The sequence below is a fragment of the Homo sapiens genome, chromosome 3, assembly GCF_000001405.40.
Source record: "Homo sapiens chromosome 3, GRCh38.p14 Primary Assembly".
NCBI classification, from domain to species: Eukaryota; Metazoa; Chordata; class Mammalia; order Primates; family Hominidae; genus Homo; species Homo sapiens.
Genome location: NC_000003.12, coordinates 142002599 through 142026835, shown reverse-complemented (window position 1 = coordinate 142026835; position 24237 = coordinate 142002599). Strand labels below are relative to the sequence as shown.

The following is a 24237-nucleotide window of genomic DNA, read 5'->3' as shown; positions in this document are numbered from 1 at the left end:
TTTATCTGCTGAAAAGAGTAGGAATGAAGAGTGTGGAAGCATTATGCGTGTAATGAAAGCAGTCAAAATTTTGAAAAACAGTTTTTGAATTTTTGGAATTCATAATGAGGAAAGTGAAAACCTTTCCTTTTACAAGTAACACAAAGAAGTCCTATGCTGTTGTATAATGTGCGTGTATACACATTACAACTTTATTCATTTCTTAAGTTTGCTCTTGAAAAATCAGTGCTGAGCACCAGCTCTTTCACATATGAGGCACTTATTCAATATTTGCCATACCCTACACTGGAAAATTCGTAGTAATTTACAGTAGCCAATAAAGTTTTTGAGCTATAGTTTAAAATTTGCATATGGATTAATTATTATACAGTTTTCTAAATAATTGGCCTAAGGAGAGAGAAGGCTGGAAAAGATATCAACATTCAAGCAGATTATTAAAAATTCCTCTTGCTGTTAGCTAAGATCTGTGGGCTTACCTGAAGTTATTTTTTTGTTGTTTTTTTTTGTTGTTTTTTTGTTTTTTTGAGACGGAATCTCGCTGCAAGCTCTGCGTCCCAGGTTCACACCATTCACCTGCCTCAGCCTCCCCAGTAGCTGGGACTACAGGCGTCCACCACCACGCTCAGCTAATTTTTTGTATTTTTAGTAGAGATGGGGTTTCATCATGTTAGCCAGGATGGTCTCAATCTCCTGACCTCGTGATCTGCCCACCTCGGCCTGATGGTCTCGATCTCCCGACCTTGAGATCCGCCTACCTCGGCCTCCCAGAGTGCTGGGATTATGGGCGTGAGCCACTGCGCCGGCCAGAAGATTTTCTTTTCTTCAAATAATGATGACCAAATTTAGAGATTTTGAAGTTTGTTTGTTTTTTGAGATGGAGTTTCGCTCTTGTTGCCCAGGCTGGAGTGCAATGGTGTGATCTCGGCTCACTGCAACCTCTGCCTCCTGGGTTCAAGCGATTCTCCTTCCTCAGCCCCCCAAGTAGCTGGGATTACAGGCATGCGCCCACACGCCTGGCCTTTGAAGTTTATTGAATCATTATTTCAATTAAGATTCAGATTCTAAAACTTATCTATGTACATTTTGCTTATCTTAAGGAATAGCAACATGTAATGGTTGAGGTTTTTTCTCTCTAAAATAAGTAAAACAATTTACATGGACTTTAAAATGGATTTACAAACTATAGATTTGCCTAAAGAACTTTTTTTACAATTCTGATCAAAGAACAGAAATTTTGATGGAATAGACAGGCTTAAAAAAAAGTTGGTCACTCCACATGTAATACATAACTGTGACAGCATCATAGATTGTGATTATAAAAAATGTGTATCACTTACAATTATAAATGTAGACATGACAATAAGTTACTTAACAAGGAAAACAGTATCAGCAACAGCAACAAGGACATAGTTTGGACTCCTAGCCCTTCAAATTGAGAAATGAAGACCAAAATCAGTTGAATTATTTTAAGATGAATTCCCACTGCCTCTGTATGTGTAAATTATCTTGGAATTATTGAATGTGTGGTCAAATTATGGTTGAGAAGAGCACATTAGTTTTAGCATATATGGAGTATAGAACATAGAGAGTATAATTTTCTATATTATATTGTTGATTTATACTCTATGAGAAACCAAACCATTCAAGTTTGTTACCTGGAAATTGGTTGGGAGTGTCTGAAGGAAAAAACAAACAAAAACTTTCCTAATTCATCTGCCATTTAGAGGTAATTCCTTAATTGTCTTTAATTTCTAGTAAATACTTCCAGTCATAATCAATTTAAATATTAAATTAAATCTTTTTTTTTTTTTCTTTGAGACAGAGTCTCGCTGTTGTCGCCTGGGCTGGAGTGCAGTGGCACAATCTCAGCTCACTGTAACCTGTGCTTCCCGGGTTCAAGCAATTCTCCTGCCTCAGCCTCCCGAGTAGCTGAGATTACAGGCGCCCGCCACCAAACCCGGCTAATTTTTGTATTTTTAGTAGAAACGGGATTTCACCATGTTGGCCAGGCTGGTCTCGAACTCCTGACCTCAGGTGATCCTCTGGCCTCGACCTCCCAAAGTGCTGGGATTACAGGCATGAGCCATTGCACCCGGTCTTAAATTAAATATTTAAAATGTATACTGAAAGAAGACTTCAGGAGTACCTGAAGTTCTTGCTTTATGTATGAACTCTTTATCACAAAACTGAGGTCTTAGAGGAACCTGAGCCTTACCTATTTATTGTAACCCGATTCAGAATACCCAGAGAGGTCAATGATTTAGCCTTTTTTTTCTGCCTTATATATACATATGCAACTAGAAATAACAGCCACCTTGAAATTTCTCATCTCTGGAGTGGAGTAAGAGGGGAGATGTGCCTGATGCCTATATTTCTCTGAAGAGAAAACCTTTTACATTGTTGAGGAGCAGGTAGACCAGTATGAGTATGGTGCTTTGAGTATATTATGAATTAACTATGTTTTGTGAACTGATCCAGGAACCTGTCATGTAATTATGTTGTTTCTTTCTACCAAGTTTCAAGAAACCAATTTTCAAATGAATTTTTACATGGTAACTCTAAAGCTGGAGACTATCAACCGGGGACTTTGGTTTTGGCACTTTGCTCACTTGTAGTGAAAATTTGGCAACTCTTGGCAATTTCTCTGACAGAAAAATGAACAGACCACTAAGTGAGCACTTACTGTGTGCCAGGTAGACACAGTAGAACTTATTTATAAAAGTTCTCAAAAATCTTTTAATGGGCTGGGCATGGTGGCACATGCCTGTAATCCCAGCACCTGGAGAGGTAGGCAGATCACTTTAACTCAGGAGTTCAAGACCAGCCTGGGCACATGGCAAAATCCTGTCTCTACAAAAAATACAAAAATTAACTGGGCATGGTGGCACGCACCTGTGGTCCCAGCTACTCGGGAGAATGAGGTGGGAGGATCCCTTGAGCCCAGGTCAGGGCTGCAGTGAGTGGAGATCATGCCACTGCACTCCGGCCTAGGCAACAGAGCAAGACCCTGTCTCAAAAAAAATTTAAAAATCTTTAATGGATAAATTTTTAATACAAAGAGATTTTGTTGACATTGATGTCTAACTTTAAGATTTCTTGCATTTCACAATGTGATTTAAATGTAGCTTCAGTAATAGCCCTCAAGTAGAATATATTGTTGAGATTATAATATCAATAACTTACTGCAGTTTTGAGTGAGCTACTTAGTGCATGGTATTATAAAACAACGATCCCCTCTTTTATTTGCTAAGGAGAAGAACTGCTTTGGAACTCTTAATTCATGGGTGGTCCTTGGTCCCTTTGAATTTGTATCCTAAAGTTTTACGTTTATTTTAAGTACCCCCCAGCCAGGCGTGGTGGTTCACGCCTGTAATCCCAGCACATTGGGAGGCCGGGGCAGGTGGATCACTTGAGGTCAGGAGTTCGAGACCAGCCTGGACAACATGGCGAAACCCTGTCTCTACTAAAAATACAAGAAAAAAAAAAAGCCAGATGTGGTGGCACACGCCCATAATCCCAGCTACTCAGGAGGCTGAGACAGGAGATTCACTTGAACGCGGGAGGCGGAGGTTACGGTGAGCTGAGATCACGCCACTGCACTCCAGCCTAGGTGACACAACAAGACTCTATCTCAAATAAATAAAAAAACTTATTTTAAAAACCCAACTTTTTTTCTTTTTCTTTTCTTTTTCTTTTTTTTTTTTTTTTTTTTTGAGACGGAGGGAGTCTCACTGCGTTGCCAGGCTGGAGTGCAGTGACACGATCTTGGCTTACTGCAACCTCCGCCTCCCGGGTTCAAGCAATTCTCCTGCCTCAGCCTCCTGAGTAGCTGGGACTACGGGCGCATGCCACTGCGCCCGGCTAATTTTTGTATTTTTACTAGAGATGGGGTTTCACCACGTTGGCCAGGCTAGTCTCAAACTCCTGACTTCGTAATCCACCCGCCTTGGCCTCCCAAAGTGCTGGGATTCAGGCGTGAGCCACCTGTGCCCGGCCCAGGAACCCAGCTTTTTAATTCAAAGTCTGTCTGCAGTCATGGTCACCTCTTATAAATATTAGAAAAATATCTCACTTAACTGTAAATTTAAAAGGATTTATCTGTTACCCCTGTCTGGCTACCCTCTCGGACTGTGAGCTTCTTCATGAGAGTAATTTCCAGTGAAGTACTCTTGGGTATTTGAGTACTCATAAATTCTGATCCTTGTGGTTGCACTCAGCTGTCTTGATCAACTCTAGCCATTCAGTGGCTGTTGGTATGAGATAAAATGTGCTGCTTTCTGTGCTTTCTCTTTTACTAGGCCTGTAAACAGTGTCTGTGTGCCATCTGGTGGGTGTATTGACTGTTGTGATGGTGCTAACAGTGGTGATTGAAAATGGGCTAAACAGTGAAAAAATATAACACTTAAGAACAAGAAACAGAAGAAATAAGGGTCACTCAGACTCTTTTAAAATGAGAATAGAAATAAGTTCAGTGTACTAGAGTCCACTTGCATTTCGTTATTTCCTTAATTTGAACAAAGAGTCTTACCAGACCATAAGAATCATCTGAGGCACTTAAAAATACAAATTCTCCACCTAATTTTTGAATCTTTAGGTGTCCAGTGGAGCTCAGGAGTGTGTGTTTTGAATAAGAGACACCTCTCTTCCCTTTGTAGTGAATCTTGTGATCACTCATATTTGGGAAGAACTGCCGGGAAGGATTGGGAGGATCAAGTTGTTTGAGGACATACAGTAAACTTCCTCAATTATTAATCAGAAGATACATTTCAAAACTAGGAAATTTTAGTTGAGCAGGTGGAAGAAAAATGAGAAATTGAACAATTAAAAAGTTTCCTTGACTGAATATGCTAACAGAAAAAAGATTTCAAAAGGACATATTTTAACTAAAGATAAAGAAGCCAATGAAAAACCAGCAGTATCAAACCTACAGATGAGACAAATGTTTTTGGGTGAACACTTAAAAAATTATTGAAGGAGAAGGGCCCTGCAAGTGACCTTAGTGATTTCTAAGATCTTTTAGGTTTGATGAACTAAATGAAACCAATTATAATATTCCAGATACCAGAGCTTGAATTGAGGAGTTTGCTTAAGCAATGAGGAGATACTGTTTAAATCTTGCAATGTGGTAAGATGGAGAAGAAAAAATGTTTTTCTCCTTTCAAATTTAAGAATTTAGGGCATTCATGGTTCTAGATACAAGAAAAGGAGGGAGCTAGCTAATCGTTTTTAGAAAGTGTCCCCTAAGTGAAAATGTTCAACAAAGCCAAGAGAACAGGTTTGATCTTCTAGGGAAAGTATGTAGGAAAGACTGACATATAAGATTTATTCATTTAGAAATATGACCATAGAGCTATAAATACACTTAATATTATGGTCATTTCAAGGATCCTTTGGAAAGATTCTGGTTAGGTGATCCATTTGGGTGAATCCTGAAAGTTCTCTATGTTCTGGCAGCTGCAGAAACATTCAGGCTTTTCCTTCCGTGTATGTGATATGTAGGAATGTGCGTGTCAGATTTTCTGTCCTTATCTTTGCACAATGGGATGCCTGATCTCCATTTAGAACCAAATAGAAAGAGGAAGGTTCCAGAGGTCACTTTAACCATTATACTTTGGAGATATTATGAACTTTTTTATCTTCTCTTTGTCACCCATCCCAATTATAGTGATGTTGAGGTCATTCAGTTAAAAAGTTTTGTAATAGTGATTAACTTTGTATTTAATCTTAGTGACTTTTGGCGAACATGGTTCAGTACAAATGCATCAAAATAAAACATAACAGTGGTGTAATGTGCATGTGCAGGTAGGTAATACTAGTTAGTAAATAAAGTGAAAACTATTTTTTTTTTTTTGAGACAGGGTGTTGCTTTGTCACCCAGATGGGAGTGCAGTGGCATGAACACAGCTCACTGCAGCTTCGACTTCCTGGGTTCAGGAGATCCTCTTGCCTCAGCCTCCCATATAGCTGGGACCATAAGTGTGTGTCACTACACCTGGGTAATTTTATTATTTTTTTGTAGAGATGAGGCCTTACTATGTTGCCCAGGCTGGTCTTGAATTCCTGGACTCAAGCAATCCTCCTGCCTCAGCCTCCCAAAGTGCTGGAACTGTAGGCATGAGTCATCACACCTAGCCTGAAAACTTTTTTTTTTTTTTTAAAGAAAAAGGTATATGAGTATATTTAAACATAAAAATGAAGGAAGTCAGAGTAACTGCAAAGTTTGTTTTTATTTCATTTACATAGGTGATGCTGTTGACCTACAGAGCCTGAGTTACTTTCTTCTTTCTTTCTTTTCCCCCCCGAGACGGAGTCTTGCTCTGTTGCCCAGGCTGGAGTGCAATGGCACCATCTCGGCTCACCGCAACCTCCACTTCCCGAGTGCAAGCAATTCTCCTGCCTCAGCCACCCAAGCAGCTGGGATTATAGGCACACACCACCACTCCTGGCTAATTTTTTATATTTTTAGTAGAGGCAGGGTTTCACCATGTTGGTCAGGCTAGTCTTGAACTCCTGACCTCCTTATCCACCCACCTTGGCCTCCCAAAGTGCTGGGATTACAGACGTGAGCCACCGTCCCTGGCCCAAGAGTTATTTTTGAAATACAGGTGATAGATATCCCCTGAGTCATCCATATCCTTTCTCCCTAGTCTACTTTGTTTTCAGTGGCATATATTGCTTTCTAGATGGCTGGCTAAAATTAGAAATACAGTCTTAAGGTTGTGAAATCATTTCTCTTTGCAAAACAAATTGCCCCTTCTAGAATTGACCTGTGACTTGACCTCTTCAGTACTGTATTTGAAGCTAATTGATAGTCTTTTACAGTAGTTATTAACAGATAGTTAAAAGGTAGTACAGGAAGGAAGGAAATGCTCTGACACTACTTTCTTTTTCTGACTCAGCTTATTCTTTTGTGGAACTGTTAATCATGAATGAAACAAAACCATGGGGAACTGACATATGAAGAGGCAGATCAGTGGAGCAGAATAGAAAATCAATAAATTGACCCAAATAAGTAAACTCAAGGTTGCATTTCATATCAGCATGGAGTGGATTATTCATTAAAAGTGGCTAACTCAGGGGGAAAACCTTGGATCTGTCACTTCTTATATCAGATAACTTCCAGGTGGGTCAAGGATTTATAATTTAAAATGAAGGCTTTAAAATTGTATAAGAAGATGTTGGGGGGGGTGTTTAATATAATCTTAGTATACATTCTAACTGCTGATAATTAATTTATAAGAACAGCATATCCAACTGGAAATATAAAACCTATACGATAAGTAAAATGCAGCATGTTTAAAGTGCATGTATAAAGTACACTTCCAGGGAGCAAAGGTAAATTTAGGAAAACCCTGGCAATTAGTCTCACTTCCTTCATTTTTATATTTAAACACACACAGGCCTTTTTAAGTTTGACACAAAAGTCATTAAAAAGTTACAAAATTGACTACATTCTTAAAAATGTGCAAATAGGCCGGGCGCAGTGGCTCACGCCTGTAATCCCAGCACTTTGGGAGGCTGAGGCGGGCGGGTTACCTGAGGTCAGGAGTTCAAGATCAGCCTGGGCAACACGGTGAAACCCCGTCTCTACTAAAAATACAAAATTAGTTGGGCATGGTGACACATGCCTGTAATCCCAGCTACTCAGGAGGCTGAGGCAGGAGAATCCATTGAACCTGGGAGGCGGAGGATGCGGTGAGCCGAGATCGTGCCATTGCAGTCCAGCCTGGGCAACAAGAGTAAATCTCCGTCTCACCAAAACAAAAAAAAAAAAAAAAAAAATGTGCGAAGAATAATATATAAAAGCAAACACTGTTCAATTGGGGGAAATATTTGCAGCAAGTATAATAGAATAAACGTATTTCTTCAATATTTAAAGACGTTCTACCAAAAAAAAAAAAAAAAACTCACCAAAAACCAATAGGTGGACATAATTTTCAGGAAGGAACATTTACATAACTTTTAAACAAAAGATGCTCAGTGTTCAGCCATACTCATAACAATATATTAAAACCAAAATAAGACCAAAATGAGTTACTATACTTAATTTTAAATGTAAAAGTTGTCAAAGAAAATAAAATTTAAAAACACATTGCCTGGGTGCAGTGGCTCACACCTATAGTCCCACTTTGGGAGGCCGAGGTGGGAGGATTGCTTGAGCCCAGGAGTTCAAGAATAGCCTGGGCAACATGGTGAGACCCTGTCTCTACAAAAAATTTAAAAATTAGCTGGATGTGGTGGCGTACTGAGGAGGCTGAGTGGGAAGGATGACTTGAACCCTGGAGTTTGAGGCTGCAGTAAGCTGTGATTGTTCCACTGCAGTCCAGCCTGGGTGACAGAAGGAAACCCCGTCTCTAAAAAAATAAAAAAATAAAAAACAGTAGATTAATGAGGATATATGTAAATGGAGACTTTCATGCATTTCTAAAGGGAGAAATACACAGTTGATACAAGTAATGTGGGTAAAGAAATATGTATAGTCATTGCAGTAGTATATGTAATACTAAAACTTTTCCATTACTCAGGAGCTCAATAAATAGACTGCTGGAGCCATAAAAGGGAATACTATGTAGCTAATAAAATAAACATTGAGGCCTGGTACGGTGGCTGACGCCTGTAATCCTAGCACTTTGGGAGGCCAAGGTGGGCAGATCACCTGAGGTCAGGAGTTTGAGACCAGCCTGGCCAGCATGACGAGACCCCTGTCTCTACTGAAAGTATAAAAATTAGCCAAGCGTGGTGATGGGTGCCTGTAATCCCAGCTCTTCAGGAGGCTGAGGCAGGAGAATCGCCTGAACCCAGGAGGCGGAGGTTGCAGTAAACCAAGATCGTGCCACTGCACTCCAGCCTGGACGACAAGAGCAGGACTCCATCTCATAAATAAATAAATAAATAAAATATTGAGGCAACACTACATCTACAGATATGGAAAGGCATCTGAGATGGATATAAAAGCAACGCTCAGACTGATAGAAGGATATCTTTGGCTGGGCGCGGTGGCTCACGCCTGTAATCCCAGCACTTTGGGAGGCTGAGGCGGGTGGATCACGAGGTCAGGCGTTCGAAACCAGCCTGACCAACATGGTGAAACCCCGTCTCTACTACAAATACAAAAATTAGCCAGGCATGGTGGCATGTGCCTGTAATCCAAGCTACTCAGGAGGCTGAGACAGGAGAATCGCATGAACCCGGCAGGCACAGGTTGCAGTGAGCCAAGATCATGCCACTGCACTCCAGCCTAGGCGACAGAGCGAGACTCCATCTCAAAAAAAAAAAAAAAAAAAAAAGAATATTTTTGCATATGTGTTTGCATATGCTGAGGATATTTTTGGAAGCTTATCTACAAACTGGCACCACAGCTGTCACTAAGGAAGGGAATATTTTGGTGGTGATTCGGGATGGCAGGAGACTCAGTTTTCACTGTACACTCTAGTTTTATGAATTTGTATATATACTTCCATGTAGACATTCATGTACTTACCAATTTATTCATCCAACAAATATTAAGCTCTGCTGTATGCTAGTGTTGGAGACACCTAGCTGGAGCAATGAATGAGATGACAAAGCCCCTATTGTTGTAGAACTTAACATTCTGAGAGTGACAAGACAGATAGTAATTATATAAGTAAATATAAATATGTAATGTGTCATATAGAGATAAGTACTATGGTGGAAAAATAAAGTATAGTAAATTAGGAAGTGCTGATATAGGGTGGTAGATATCTCTGCTGCCGTGTCAACTTAGCAGACTTGAAGGAAACGGGAATAAGACGTAGGATATCTGGGGGAGGATTACAGGCAGAGGAGACTTGAAGGACAAAGGCCATGAAGTAGAAATTTGGTTGGCATGGGTTGAAGAACAGCAAAGAGGTCAGTGTGAATGCAGAGGAATGAAGTAGGGAGAGATTGACAGGTGACAAGGTCAGAAAGAGGACTGCAGATGATATAGGGCTTTGTAAACCCTCATTAAGGACTCAAGCTAACTGAGATGTGATGCCAGTTGGAGAGTTTTGAAGAGGACTCCTCCATGTAGTGGGATCACTCTGACTGCTGTGTGGAGGATAAATCAGTTGGGTTTCCTAGTATAATGTAATCCACTTATGTAATTGCAAATTTTCTAGTAGCAATATTTTAATACTATGAAGGGACAGGTGAAATTTATTTTAATGATGGATTTTATTGAACCCAAACATTTATTAAAACATTATACAAACATTTACTAAAACTTACCATCTGGCCAGGTGTGGTGGCTCATGCCTGTAATCCCAGCACTTAGGGATGCCAAGGCACATGGATCGCTTGAGGTCAGGAGTTCAAGACCAGCCTGGCCAACATGGCAAAACCCCATCTCTACTAAAAATACAAAAAAATTAGCCAGGTGTGCTGGTGGGCACCTGTAGTCCCAGCTACTCGGGAGGCTGAGGCAGGAGAATTGCTTGAACCCAGGAGGTGGAGGTTGCAGTGAGCTGAGATCGCACCACTGCACTCTAGCCTGGGTGACAGAGTGAGACTGTCTTAAAAAAAAAAAAAAAATGTTGCTGGGCGTGGTGGTTCACGCCTGTAATCCCAGCACTTTGGGAGGCCAAGTGGGTGGATCACGAGATCAGGAGTTTGAGACCAGCCTGGCCAACATAGTGAAACCCCATCTCTACAAAAATTAGCTAGGTGTGGTGGCAGGCCCCTGTAATTCCAGCTACTCGGGAGGCTGAGGCAGGAGAATTGCTCGAACCCAGGAGATGGAGGTTGCAATGAGCTGAGATCGCACCACTATACTCCAGCCTGGGTGACAGAGCAAGACTCCATCTCTAAGGAAAAAATAAAGAAGTTGAAAACATCATCCAACATGTAATCAATATAAACATTATTAGTCAGATATTTTATAGTTTTTTTGTGCTAAGTTTTCAAAATCTGATGCATATTTTATACCTAGAGCACATCTCAGTTTAGATGCTACATTTTCAGCAATTGAAGTGAAATATAGCCCTACCAAAATGATAAAGTTGTGTTTAATGGGAAAATACTTCATTTACTTTAGTTTTAAAATATGTTAATTAAAATTAAATTAATTTAAAATCTAGGTCTAACCACATTTCAAGTGCTCAGTAGCCACCTGTGTCTAGTGAGTGCTGTATTAGAGAGCATGGAAATAGAGTTGTGGGGTAGGGTGGGCAGCAGCATGGAGCTGCGTCAGGAACCTATTGCAGTAATTGAAGCCAAGATGTTGGCCGGGACCAGAGTGTTAGCAGAGGAGTAGGTGAGAAGTGGTTGTATTCAAGCTGTATTTTAAAGATCCAGCTTGCGGGACTTATGAATGGATTGAATGTGGGATATCAGAGAAAGTGAGGTCTCAACAGTAATCTTTTCAGTCTGAGCAGTTGAAGAATAGAGTTTTCATTTACTGAGATGAAGAAGGAGATTTCTGGATGGGGTGGGGGCAGTCCAGAGTTAGATTTTGGATATGTTAAGTTTGAGATACGTGTAAGACATCAAAATGGAGATATGAGAAGATAGTGGATATGTGAATCCAAAGTTCAAGGAATAGATGTAATCTGGAGAAATATACACGAGAGTCATCAGTGTATTTAAAGCCAGGAGACTTAGATGGGATCATCTCATGAGGAAGGGCTCACAGACAAGAGATTGGAGGACCAAGCTAAGGGGCTCCCAAATGTTTAGAGAGAAGGAGCCAACAACTAAGGCTGAGAAGGAATGGCCAGTAGGTTGGGAGGAGAACCAGGAGAAAATGGTGGCTTGGATATCAAGTGGAGTTAGTGTTTCTAAAGAAGGTGTGATTTTAAAAAGTGTCAAGAGTAGATGGAAGGTTAAAGTAAATTGAAGGCCAAGAATTTCAGTGGAATTGTGGGGGAAAATTGGGAAGAGAGGGTTCAAAAGAAACTGAGATGTGGAGGAAGTGGAAACAGCAAATGCTGGCAGATTTTGTGAGTAGTTTTGCTGTAGAGGGCAACAAATTAGTTGGTAACTGGAGGACCGTGGATGGTCAAGAAAAGTTGGTTTTTTGTTTTTGAGATGGAAGAAATTATGCATGTTTATGTGCTGATGAGAATGATCTGACAGAGAGGGAAAGATTGTGATGATGCAGGAGACTGACTTAAAAGGGACAGTAGTTGAAGGGATGTTTTTTAGACAAGAAGATGAACTACCTGTATTTTTTTTTAAGGGCCAGTTGAGGTGACAGAAGAAGAAAAGCAAGAAGATGGTGTAATCTATAGTTAGCATCTTACTAATTAATATGAACTCGCCCAAGTTACATTTTTCCATCATTTTATTAAGGTATAGTTTACATACAGTAGAATCACCCCTTTTAGCCTAGTGTTCTGGGACTTCAGCAAACACATACACCACCACAGTCTAGGTCATTTTAACTTATTTATGCTGGGTGTGGTGGCTCATGCCTGGAATCCCAGTGCTTTGGCGAGGTGGGAGGATCGCTTGAGCTCAAGAGTTTGAGACCAGCCCGGGCAATATACTGAGACCCCCTCCCTACAAAAAATAAAAATAAAAAAAAATACCTGGGCATGGTGGTGCACACCAATTGTTCCAGCTTACTGGAGAGCTGAGGCAGGAGGATAACTTGAGCCAGGAGTTTGAGGCTGCAGTGAGCTGTGATAGTGCCACTGCTCTCCAGGCTGAATGACAGAGCAAGATCCTGTCTCAAAACAAACAAACCAAACACTTTTATTTTGGGCAATAGGTTAGCTTGTTCTGGGAAGTTGGACCCTGTATATATGGGATATACCATTGCTTCTAATTTAAGAGATTTATAAACCCACAAAAAATATGTATTATTTCTTATAGTAAGTTACCAGTTTGGTTCTTGTAGGAGGATGTGATGTAGGCTTGGGTGAAGAAGGTTTTTCCTAAAGCTAATTCAAGCAAAAAAAAATTTTTTTCAGAAAGTCTGTGCCATGAAAAAAAAGTTATATTAGCATCATATAGACAAACCACAATTATGTAACTGGATATTTTTTTTCATTTTAGTTGGACATATTGAAGGTGATTAATTGTAACTGGAACCCCCTAAAGAATTATAGTGGAAAAAAAAATATGTGGTGTCTAGACAATTCTAGTGGAAGACAAAAATATTTCAGTTACTCAATAAATTGAAATAATATTTGAGCCAAAATCTTGTGCCTGTGCCAAGATCTGGCATAAGTTTTTAGTTCTGTTTCTTAGCCACTTCTCTAGGTGATTGATCTCATTTAGTTAATTGAGGGAATTGCCAGAACCAAAATCCAGGCAACATTAAAAATCGTTGTTTTTAATACACTGAGTCCCAGGAATCAGTTTCTGGACAGTGTCGAGCTCCTATTGCCAAGGAGCTATGAATTTAGGCCATGCACTTAGGAAAAACTGTTTAGACTTTACTTCTCTCAGCCTGGCTGGAATTTTGGTTGACTGAATCTTTATAATCTATTTAAAGGTGTCCTTTTGAGTCAAAAACATAGCTGATTTGATGGAAGTAAGTTTTGTCTAAACATGTGGCTTTTATTTCTGGGTATTACAACTATTGGAATTCTAGTGGAATCCTTTTAACTACTTTTAAAGCAAATTTCATTTTTACTACTTATAAGAATCATTTCTAGATCTTCAACTTGTTTTAGTAGCTATGGCTGATTCATTCTCTCTCTCTTTTTCAGAATGACAGTAACTTTTATTTTTATTTATTTATTTATTTTTAAGATGGAGTCTCGCTCTGTCACCCAGGCTGGAGTGCAAGTGGTGCGATCTTAGCTCATGGCAACCTCCGCCTCCCGGGTTCAAGTGATTCTCCTGCCTCAGCCTCCTAAGTAGCTGGGATTACAAATGCGTGCCACCATACCTGGCTAATTTTTGTATTTTTAGTAGAGACGGGGTTTCACCATGTTGATCAGGCTGGTCTCAAACTCCTGGCCTCGTGATCCTCCTGCCTCGGCCTCCCAAAGTGCTGGGATTACAAGCGTGAGCCACCGCGCCTGGCAACAGTAGCTTTTAAAATTATAAAACAAGTGCATGCATCTTCATAAAATGTTTTTTTAAATAATAAAATGTATAAAACAAATGCTTCCTCCATGCTACTCATCAGTGCTAACCACTATTAAATTTGTAGTTTCTCTTGGCAGACTTTTTATGAATATATAAAAATATATGAAAAATATATGTATATGTAGTTTTTCAGGTAAATGTAATCGTGTTCTCTTATAATAGGACATTTTTCCATGGCAATACGTGCTTGTATTTTTAGGGACTATATAATATTCCATCATACACATGTACCAAAAGATGTTTAAACACTTAAATTGTTTGTAGGTCTTTGCTTTTCTCCACAATGCTCCAATCCCAGGACATGTAGAATTGTTCTTATCTGCCTAGTTTATTAGAGTATATTTCCACCAGAGGAATTGCTAGTCAGAGGGTATGCCCATTGTCAATCATGATGTCACAGAAGCCAGACATTAGCTTGCCACTTAGGCAACAGAGGGTATTTGTTGAAATGGAAAAAAGCTTTAAAATGTGTAGAATTATAGGCCGAGCATGGTGGCTCACGCCTATGATCCCAGCACTTTGGGAGGCCGAGGCAGGCAGGTCATGAAGTCAGGAGATCGAGACCGTCCTGGCTAACACAGTGAAACCCCGTCTCTACTAAAAATACAAAAAATTAGCCGGGTGTGGTGGTGGGCACCTGTAGTCCCAGCTACTTGGGAGGCTGAGGCAGGAGAATGGCATGAACCCGGGAGGCAGAGCTTGCAGTGAGCCAAGCTCACACCACTGCACTCCAGCCTGGGTGACAGAGCGAGACTCTGTCTCAAAAAAAAAAAAAAAGAAAGAAAGAAAGAAAAAAAAGTGTAGAATTATTTTTAAAGCATTTATGTAGAATTTTGTATTCTAACAAGGGTCAGTTTATTCCTCTCTAATTAAAATCAACACATTGTCAGAACCTCCAGAAAGGCTCTACAGTATTCCCTTCACTAACAAAGTATGTTAGTCCCTTGAGTGCAGGGAACAGTGTTACTTGTTCACTGAATATCCTAATGCTTAGCCTTAGTTCTTGACATAGAATAGTAGGTGCCAAGTCAGTACTTTTAAAATGTGCCTGTTTTGCCACATCCTTACCAACTCAGTGCATTATCAGACTTGTTAATTTTTTATCAGTCTAGTATGCAAAAAGGTTTCCTTTTTAAAAAAGTTTGTTGTTTTTTTTTTTTCCTTGTTTTCCTCACTTCTTTTTTTTTTTTCTTTTTTTTTTTATTATACTTTAAGTTTTAGGGTACATGTGCACCTTGTGCAGGTTAGTTACATATGTATACATGTGCCATGCTGGTGCGCTGCACCCACTAACTCGTCATCTAGCATTAGGTATATCTCCCAATGCTATCCCTCCCCCCTCCCCCCACCCCACCACAGTCCCCAGAGTATGATATTCCCCTTCCTGTGTCCATGTGATCTCAATATTCAATTCCCACCTATGAGTGAGAATATGCGGTGTTTGGTTTTTTGTTCTTGCGATAGTTTACTGAGAATGATGATTTCCAATTTCATCCATGTCCCTACAAAGGACATGAACTCATCATTTTTTATGGCTGCATAGTATTCCATGGTGTATATGTGCCACATTTTCTTAATCCAGTCTATCATTGTTGGACATTTGGGTTGGTTCCAAGTCTTTGCTATTGTGAATAATGCCGCAATAAACATACGTGTGCATGTGTCTTTATAGCAGCATGATTTATAGTCCTTTGGGTATATACCCAGTAATGGGATGGCTGGGTCAAATGGTATTTCTAGTTCTAGATCCCTGAGGAATCGCCACACTGACTTCCACAATGGTTGAACCAGTTTACAGTCCCACCAACAGTGTAAAAGTGTTCCTATTTCTCCACATCCTCTCCAGCACCTGTTGTTTCCTGACTTTTTAATGATTGCCATTCTAACTGGTGTGAGATGGTATCTCATAGTGGTTTTGATTTGCATTTCTCTGATGGCCAGTGATGATGAGCATTTTTTCATGTGTTTTTTGGCTGCATAAATGTCTTCTTTTGAGAAGTGTCTGTTCATGTCCTTCACCCACTTTTTGATGGGGTTGTTTGTTTTTTTCTTGTAAATTTGTTTGAGTTCATTGTAGATTCTGGATATTAGCCCTTTGTCAGACGAGTAGGTTGCGAAAATTTTCTCCCATTTTGTAGGTTGCCTGTTCACTCTGATGGTAGGTTTTTTTTTTTTTTTTTTTTTGAGACAGAGTCTTGCTCTGTCACCCAGGCTGGAGTTCATTAGCGCGATCTTGGCTCACTGCAACCTCTGCCTCCCGGGTTCAAGCGATTCTCCTGCCTCAGCCCCCCAAGTAGCTGGGATTACAGGCACACGCCACCATGCCCAGCTGATTTTTGTATTTTTAGTAGAGACGGAATTTCACCATGTTGGCCAAGCTGGTGTCGAACTCTTGACCTCGTGATCCACCCACCTTGGCCTCCCAAAGTGCTGGGATTACAGGTGTGAGCCACTGCGCCCGGCCCAAAAGTTAGTTTTTTAATTATTAAAATCAAGCGTCTTTTCATGTGATGACTGGCATCTGTATTTCTTCATATACCGGATTTATTTTTATATGGGAGTATTGCCTTTTTCTTATTGATTTATAAGAGTAGGTTAAATAAACAAAAATTTTTAAGAATGGTAATCAAATGACCTGTGCCTTGCACATTTGTTTACCAGCCTGACATTTGTCTTCTAAGTATATTAAGTCTTGCTATAGAGAAAGTTTTGATTTTTAAAGTAGTCAGATCCATCAGTCTTTTCACTTAAGATATCTGAATTCTGTAACATGGTGAGGAGGGCCTTTCTCATTCCAGGATTATAAAAATATTATTATATTTTTTCTTCTAATACTTCTATAAAGTTTTAATTTTTATGTTTCAATATTTGATTTTTCTGAAATTTATTTTTGTTCAGTGTGAAAAATTGAAATCTAAAATTTCTTTTATCCAAATGGATAGTCTCTTGTCTCAACATTATTGGTTTGAAATACTACCTTTATCATGTACAAAATTTTCATGTATAGGTGAAATTATTTCTGGACTGTAATTTTTGTTTTGTCAATTTCTTTTTCTTTTTCTTTCTTTTTTTTTTTTTTTGAGACAGAGTCTTGCTCTGTTGTTGCCCAGGCTGGAGTGCAGTGGCGCTATCTTGGCTGTCTGCAACCTCCACCTCCTCGGTTCAAGATTCTCATGCCTCAGCCTCCCAAGTAGCTGGGATTACAGGTGTGTACCACCATGCCCGGCTAATTTTTGTATTTTTAGTAGAGACAGGGTTTCGCCATGTTGGCCAGGCTGGTTTCGAACTCCTGACCTCAGGTGATCTGCCCTGCTTGGCTTCCCAAAATGCTGGGATTACAGGCATGAGCCACCGTGCCCGGCCACATTTTGTTTTAAGAAAATCAGTTGCACAATTACAAGGTAGGGAAACTTTATTTGATAATACCAGTTCAGTCATGTTAAAAGCAAAATAAACAAAGGACCTGCTGTTTAAATTGATTTCAAACTCAGGATGAGTTATGATCTTGGTTGGAAAAATAATAAGGGTTGTAATTAAACTGTATTGCAGGAAGTTTGGCATCCAGATTAGGAAAGGTAATACTTTCAATCTTTGCTGATCAAACAGTTTTTATCATTTGTGCACCTGTTTTGTGCCAAGGACTAAACTAGATGCTGGGATACAAAGCTGAGAGACGTAGCCCATTTATAATAGAATTGCAAGTCAGTAATAACAGGTTTTATGAGAAGCCAGAAGAGGAATATCCAGAATTTAGACCACAGGGGATGGGACAGCTTTTAACAAGAAGGAGATGCATAGAGCAGAGGCTTTGGAGGTGGAGCTGTCGGCTTCACTACTATGGGACCTTGTATTTAATCTCAATCTCAATTTCTTAATGTACAAAATAGGGTCACTAATAATCTATTTCACACTGTTGTCTGTCCTAAGCATCGATGAGGAAAAAATATACACACATACATACACACACATAAAATGTATATATATGTGTATACTTTTTTCCTCATTGATGCTTAGGACAACAGTGTGTATGTGTGCATATATATGTGTGTGTATATATATATACACTTTATATGCGTATGTATATATGTACATACGTATATGTATGTATATGTAGGAAACCTCTGAAACACTCTGGGGACATAATAATTGCTCAGAAAATGGTGTGGAATCCATCCATTTTGAAGTGCTAGTAGGTAGGAGTTGGCTCAGTAGAGAAGGGCCTTCTCAGCAGAAGGAAAGGTGTATAACAAAGCCAGGTGGTTGAATTGGGGCCTCTCTGGAAATGTAAAGTATTTAATCTGGTTGGATTGTGGGGTACATGTGGAGGGAGCAGCTGAAGATGAAACTGTGAAAGGAGGCAGGGGTGGGATCTCCACTGCGAGCTTTTGTGCCATGTTGAGGAGTCTGAGAGGCATTTAGGAAGTGTTGTGGAGTCCTTAAAAACCATTATTAGGGGAGTGTTCAGAACAGTTTTGCCAGTTGAAAGACTGGTTTGTTATAGATGCATGGAGTGGCTAGGAAAGCTGTTAGAGGTAGGATATCTAGTAAGAGCCGTGGTGCTCAGCCCTGGCTGCACATTGGAACTGTCTGGAGAACATTTAATGGCCCGATGCCCAGGTTCACCCCAGATCAATTATATCAGCAGCTCTAGGATTGGAACCTAGGAATTGGTATTGTTCATTGTTCCCCAGGTGATTCCACCGGACAGCCAGTATTGTGAATCACTGAGTTAGAGGGTAACTGTATTCAAACCAGATATGAAGTTGCAAATTAAACGAGTGCCAGCAGCATAAAGCAGGGGTCCCCAACTGGCCACCAGGTACCAGTCCGTGGCCTGTTAGGAGCTGGGCCACACAGCAGGAGGTGAGTGGCAGGCAGGCAAGCCAGTGAGTGAGCAAAGCTTCATCTGTATTTGCAGCCACTCCCCATCACTCGCATCACTGCCTGAGCTCCGCCTCCTGTCAGATCAGCAGCGGCATTAGATTATCATAGGAGCACAAACCCTATTGTGAACTGTGCATGTGAGGGATCTAGGTTGCACACTCCTTATGAGAATCTAATGCCTGATGAACTGTCACTATCTCCCATCACTCCCAGATGGGACTCTCTAGTAGCAGGAAAACAAGCCCAAGGCTCCCACTGATTCCACATTGTGATGATTTGTATAACTAATTCATTATATACTACAGTGTAATAATAATAGAAATAAAGTGCACAATAAATGTAATATTCTGGAATCATTGCAAAACCATACCTCCCTTCACCCCTGTCTGTGGAAAAACTGTCTTCCACGAAACCAGTTCCTGGTGCTAAAACGGTTGGGGACCACTAGCATAAAGGAACTAGAATAAGGAAATAACAAATATGGTGGTCAGTTGAATGAGGAGGAGATGGAGTGAAGATCTGAAGATCATTTCTAGATTAGATCACTGGGTGGATTCGATGATCGTATAAGAGGGCTCAGTCATATATCGAGTGAGAACAGGAAGGAGAAGCAGATTTGGGTACTAGGACTTGCTGAGTGGGTACAAGAAATAGAATTTGATTTTTATATGTGGAATTAGGGGGAAAATTAACTCTATAATGCCAAATGGGCAGAAAAACTGAAGGGAAAGGGCCAATGGAATAGTTGAAAATTCCGGAGACAGAGTAGATAATTGATGGGTGAGATCCCTGAAGAGGCAGAAAGTGCAGAGCAGAGATGAAAGAAGTCATTTAGGGCCAGGCGTGGTGGCTCACGCCTGTAATCCAGAACTTTGGGAGGCTGAGGCAGGCGATTACCCAAGGTCAGGAGTTCCAGATCAGCCTGGCCAACATGGTGAAACCCCATCTTTACTAAAACACAAAAATTAGCCAGGCATGATGGCAGGTGCCTGGAGTTCCAGCTACCCAGGAGGCTGAGACGAGAGAACCACTTGAACCTGGGAAGCGGAGGTTGCAGTGAGCCAAGATTGTGCCACTGAACTCCAGCCTGGGTGACAGAGCAAGACTCTCAAAAAAAAAGAAAAAGAAAAAGAAGTCATTTAGGCTGGGTGCCGTGGCTCAAGCCTTTAATCCCAGCACTTTGGGAGGCTAAGGGGGAGAACTGCTTGAAGCCCAGGAGTTTGAGACCAGGCTGGGCAACATGGCAAGACCCCATCTCTACAAAATAAAAAAGTTAGCCAGGTGTGGTGATGCATGCCTGTGGTGTCAGCCACTTTGGAGGCTGAGGTGGGAGGATCACTTAAGCCCTGGAGTTTGAGCCTGTAGTGACCTGTGATTGCATCACTGTCCTCTAGCCTGGGTGTCAGAGCGAGACCCCCATCTCAAAAAAAAAAAAAAAATAGTAAGGGAATTAAAGAGTGTGGTCAAGTTTTGGAAGATGGGGGTCATCTGAGGAAGGCAACTAAGAAGGAAATGTCTTTGTTGTCCTACCCTTAAATGTTGCTTGTCCCCAGGGTTTTAGTGTTGGCCTTCTTTCACATACTTCATGGATGATCTCCTTTGATATATTTTGTTACACTGTTAACTTCTGAGAGAAACATTGATAAGCTGAAGTTTGTTGGGGGAATTAAGTAGTTGATGTTATAGTTCAGAAAATAATAGGTTGGCTTTTCCTTTTGGGGGGAATTTTCTTGGTAGCAGTTTGCTATGTTAATTTGAAATTTAAAATACTGAAATCACTTGAAAACACGGTACAGATCCCACTGTTTCTAGTATTAATAACTAGTTAGCACCATGTTTTTTCTCTAGTTATAAAACCCTAAAGCATTACCAATTTGACAGTTTGAAAATATGTTAGCTTTTAGTCTCAGTGTTTTATACTATAAAGAAATCTGAATAGTTATTTTACTTTTCATGTTATGTTTCATCATCAAGTATATTATTTGTTCTGTTATGTCTATTAAAGATCTCTTTCTCAATTCTGATATAAACTGTGATTTGCGTTACATATTCTCTAAAAATTTTTTCTTCTAAAAGACTAACTGAAAGTTTCGTAGTTAATTGTCAGATAATTGGAACTATTTATTTTATAGAGTTTCAGTAAAATATAAATAAGATTAGTTATGCAGCAAAATTAATTGTATTCCTTACAACAAAGCAGTCATTAGTATGACTTTTCAGTAAGGTGTATTTTGTTCATAATATGCTTCCTAAGATAATTATAAATTACCTCAACATAATGAATTAGGACCATGGGTGTGTATATAGCTAGAAAATGGCCTTGGTATGGCAGAATACTAACTTAATGTTTTGATATCATTTCAGGCAACATTTCATTTGTTGCATTTCCAGTTTCCAATACCAACTCACCTACAAAGATTTTACCAAAAACCTTAGGACCAATAAATGTGAATGTTGGACCCCAAATGGTAAGAAAATTATCAAATCTTAGAATTGAAACTTTGTTTAGCCAAGACTAATTTAAAGAATAATTGCATTAAATATATTTGATCAGATATTCCAGTTAAACCAGGCGCGGTAGGTGGCTCACTCCTGTAATCCCAACACTTTGGGAGGCCGAGGCAGGTGGATCACTTGAGCCCAGGAGTTCAAGACCAGCCTGGGCAACATGGTGAAACCCTGTCTCTACAAAAAACAGCTGGGCACTGTGGCGCATGCCTGAAGTCCCAGCTACTTGGAGGACTGAGGCGGGAGGATTGCTTGAGCCCAAGAGGTCAAGGCCACAGTGAGCCGTGTTTGCACCACTGCACTCCTGCCTGGGTGATAAAGCAAGACCCTGTCTCAAAAAGAAAAAGAAAAAATTATAGTTAATTTCAGTTATCTGAGTCACTTTTAAAAAACGTTCTGTTTTTATCTGAATGTATCTGGTCAAGTTTTGAGCTTGAGAAACATTGTGTGCTCTTTGATATTTAATTTTCACATATTTGAATCTGTGGATTCTGGATGTGTAGTATTAAGTCTTTTCCTCTTTATGTGAGGTTTCTCTTGTATTGTTTAAATTGATTTGAAATGTGTTATGCTTTATGTCTTCCTGCTTTTTTCTTTTTCTTATAAAATAACCTTTACTACTCTAAACTATGTATTCTCACATAAATGGAATCTGTGACCCAACAGTTAATTTACATCTGGAGTTATTAATTTAAAACTCCTTTCATTAAGGACTTTTGGGGAAAAAACAATATACCAATTTATTTTAATCTGTAGCAGTAGAAATAATGAATGAAAAATGGAAAACAACTGTTTCTCTAAAGACATTCATTAATTATGCTAGAGCATGAAGTGTGTAGCACTTTCAGAAGACTTATTTATAAGCAAGGTTGCATTCCACTACTCTGAAACTATGTCTAAATGGCCTCACCCACCATTAGTAAAAGTACTCAAACATTTAAGCAATAACTCTTCATTGCCGGTGTTTTCATCTTTTCATCTATAGAGCAATAAGGATAAATTTTACCCATAATGTACAACAGCACTGTGGACTATGTTAAATGCAAAGTTATTTAGACAAAGATATCTTTTAACATACCTAATGGTTTCAGAAAGTCTCTAAGACTTCAGGACACATTCTAGACATGATATTTTCCTTGGTTAGTTGAGGACTGTTTATCATCTGCAGAAATCAAGCTAAAGATACAACACAATTTACTGTAACTATGTGAAGAATGTAGTCTAGCTCCAAACCTCATAGAGATTTAAGCTCAAATAAGAGCCCTCATTTCAAGGTAGCTCAGGTTATATTTTCAGACATTTGCTAAGCATTTGCCCCTCCTCAGCCACTACTATAGGTGCAAATGAGATAAAGCACCTGACTTAAAAATCTGCATTTTGAAATGTGATTATATAAGCACCAAAATTAAACATACTCAAATTTTTATGAGTCTTGCCCTTACAGTACTCTTCTGTTTTGAGAGATTATTTTCTATTATTTTTTGTTTAATGCTGCTATACCCCAATTTGAATTTCTCCTTTGGAAGCATGTATAATTTTTCTCCCATTGTCAGTTTGAACTAATGTGCATTTTGGCCCTTACACAGTCCAGTTCTGTTAATAATAAGTAGTGATGTGTGCTACTAACTCAGTTACTGTAAATCTCAGGATCAGCAAAACAAAGGTCACAAGAAGGAGAGGCGATTTGGAACTCTACCTTCAACTGGGCCATCCCAAGTACTTAATTTGTCCCCCTACTTCTGAGGTCCTTTTTTCAGTTCTGAGTTCTTGGGCAGGAATCAGAATTTTGTTTTTGGTTTCCTAATTGTTGTAAGATTCCATTGCTGTCTCTTGAATGTGTCCCTCCAAAATTCATGTTGAAGCTTAATCCCTATTGTGGTGCTATTAAGGGATAGAGCCTTTGGGGAAGTGATTAAGCTATGAGGGCTTCATTCTCATTGAGGGGATTAGTGACCTTATAAAAGAAGTTGAGGCTGGGTGTGGTGTCTCACGCCTGTAATCCCAGCACTTTGGGAGGCCATGGTGGGCGGGTCATGAGATCAAGAGACTGAGACCATCCTGGTCAACATGGTGAAACCCATCTCTACTAAAAATACAAAAATTGCCGGGTGTGGTGGCTCATGTCTGTAATCCCAGCACTTTGGGAGGCCAAGGTGGGTGGATCACGAGGTCAGGAGATCGAGACCATCCTGGCTAACACAGTGAAACCCCATGTCTACTAAAATACAAAAAATTAGCCAAGCATGGTGACACACATGTAGTCCCAGATACTCGGGAGGCTGAGGCAGGAGAATTGCTTGAACCCGGGAGGAAGAAGTTGTAGTGAGCAGAGATCGCGGCACTGTACTCCAGCCTGGGTGACAGAGCAAGACTCCATCTAAAAAAAAAAAAAAGTTGAAGGGAGCTCTTTGCCCCCTTCTGCCCCACTTCATGTAGTGAAGACACTACAAGAAGGTACCATCTATGAAGCAGAGAGTGAGCCTTCTGAATTTGCTGGTGTCTTGATCCTGGACTTCCCAGCCACCAGAACTATAAGAAATACATTTCTATCATTTATAAATTACCTATGCTAAGGTATTTTGTTATAGCAGACTAAGACAAAAATTAGTGCCAAGAACTGGGGTGTGGCCATAACAAACACCTAAAACTGTAGAAGTGGCTTTGGAACTGGATAATGGGCAGAGGCTGGAAGAGTTCAGAGGAACAGGCTGGAAAAAGCCTCTTGAGATGAATGGACCATTAAGGGTGATTCTGGTGAGGAATCAGAAAAGGAGAGCTATAGAGAAAGCCTCACTTTTCTTA

General features: G+C 39.9%; 1 protein-coding gene across 26 annotated transcripts in view, besides 3 other annotated features; it reads left to right on the top strand.

The window, feature by feature from the left end:
• Positions 1 to 24237, top strand: part of TFDP2 (transcription factor Dp-2) — a 205117-nt gene that overhangs the window by 122709 nt on the left and 58171 nt on the right. For 24 of the 26 annotated variants that reach the window (NM_001375780.1, XM_017007100.3, NM_001178139.2 and 21 more), the window contains one exon: positions 21292 to 21395. The exons of 1 other annotated variant lie outside the window; for it this stretch is intronic. In NM_001375780.1, the coding sequence (NP_001362709.1) occupies positions 21379 to 21395 (17 nt within the window). In that variant the 5' untranslated portion in view covers positions 21292 to 21378. Of the gene's footprint in view, positions 1 to 6899; positions 7124 to 21291; positions 21396 to 24237 lie in introns of all 26 variants that reach the window. One more of the 26 variants, NM_001375776.1, reaches the window with a different exon arrangement.
• Positions 4115 to 4409: a silencer, noted in NCBI's record as "tiled region #4576; HepG2 Repressive non-DNase unmatched - State 13:Ctcf". NCBI's record gives its function as "represses a minimal TATA promoter and a strong SV40 promoter by Sharpr-MPRA in HepG2 cells {active_cell/tissue: HepG2}" and the evidence as "EXISTENCE:reporter gene assay evidence [ECO:0000049][PMID:27701403]".
• Positions 4115 to 4424: a biological region, named in NCBI's record as "Sharpr-MPRA regulatory region 4576".
• Positions 4365 to 4424: an enhancer, noted in NCBI's record as "active region_20639". NCBI's record gives its function as "activates an Ori minimal core promoter by ATAC-STARR-seq in GM12878 lymphoblastoid cells {active_cell/tissue: GM12878}" and the evidence as "EXISTENCE:reporter gene assay evidence [ECO:0000049][PMID:35858748]".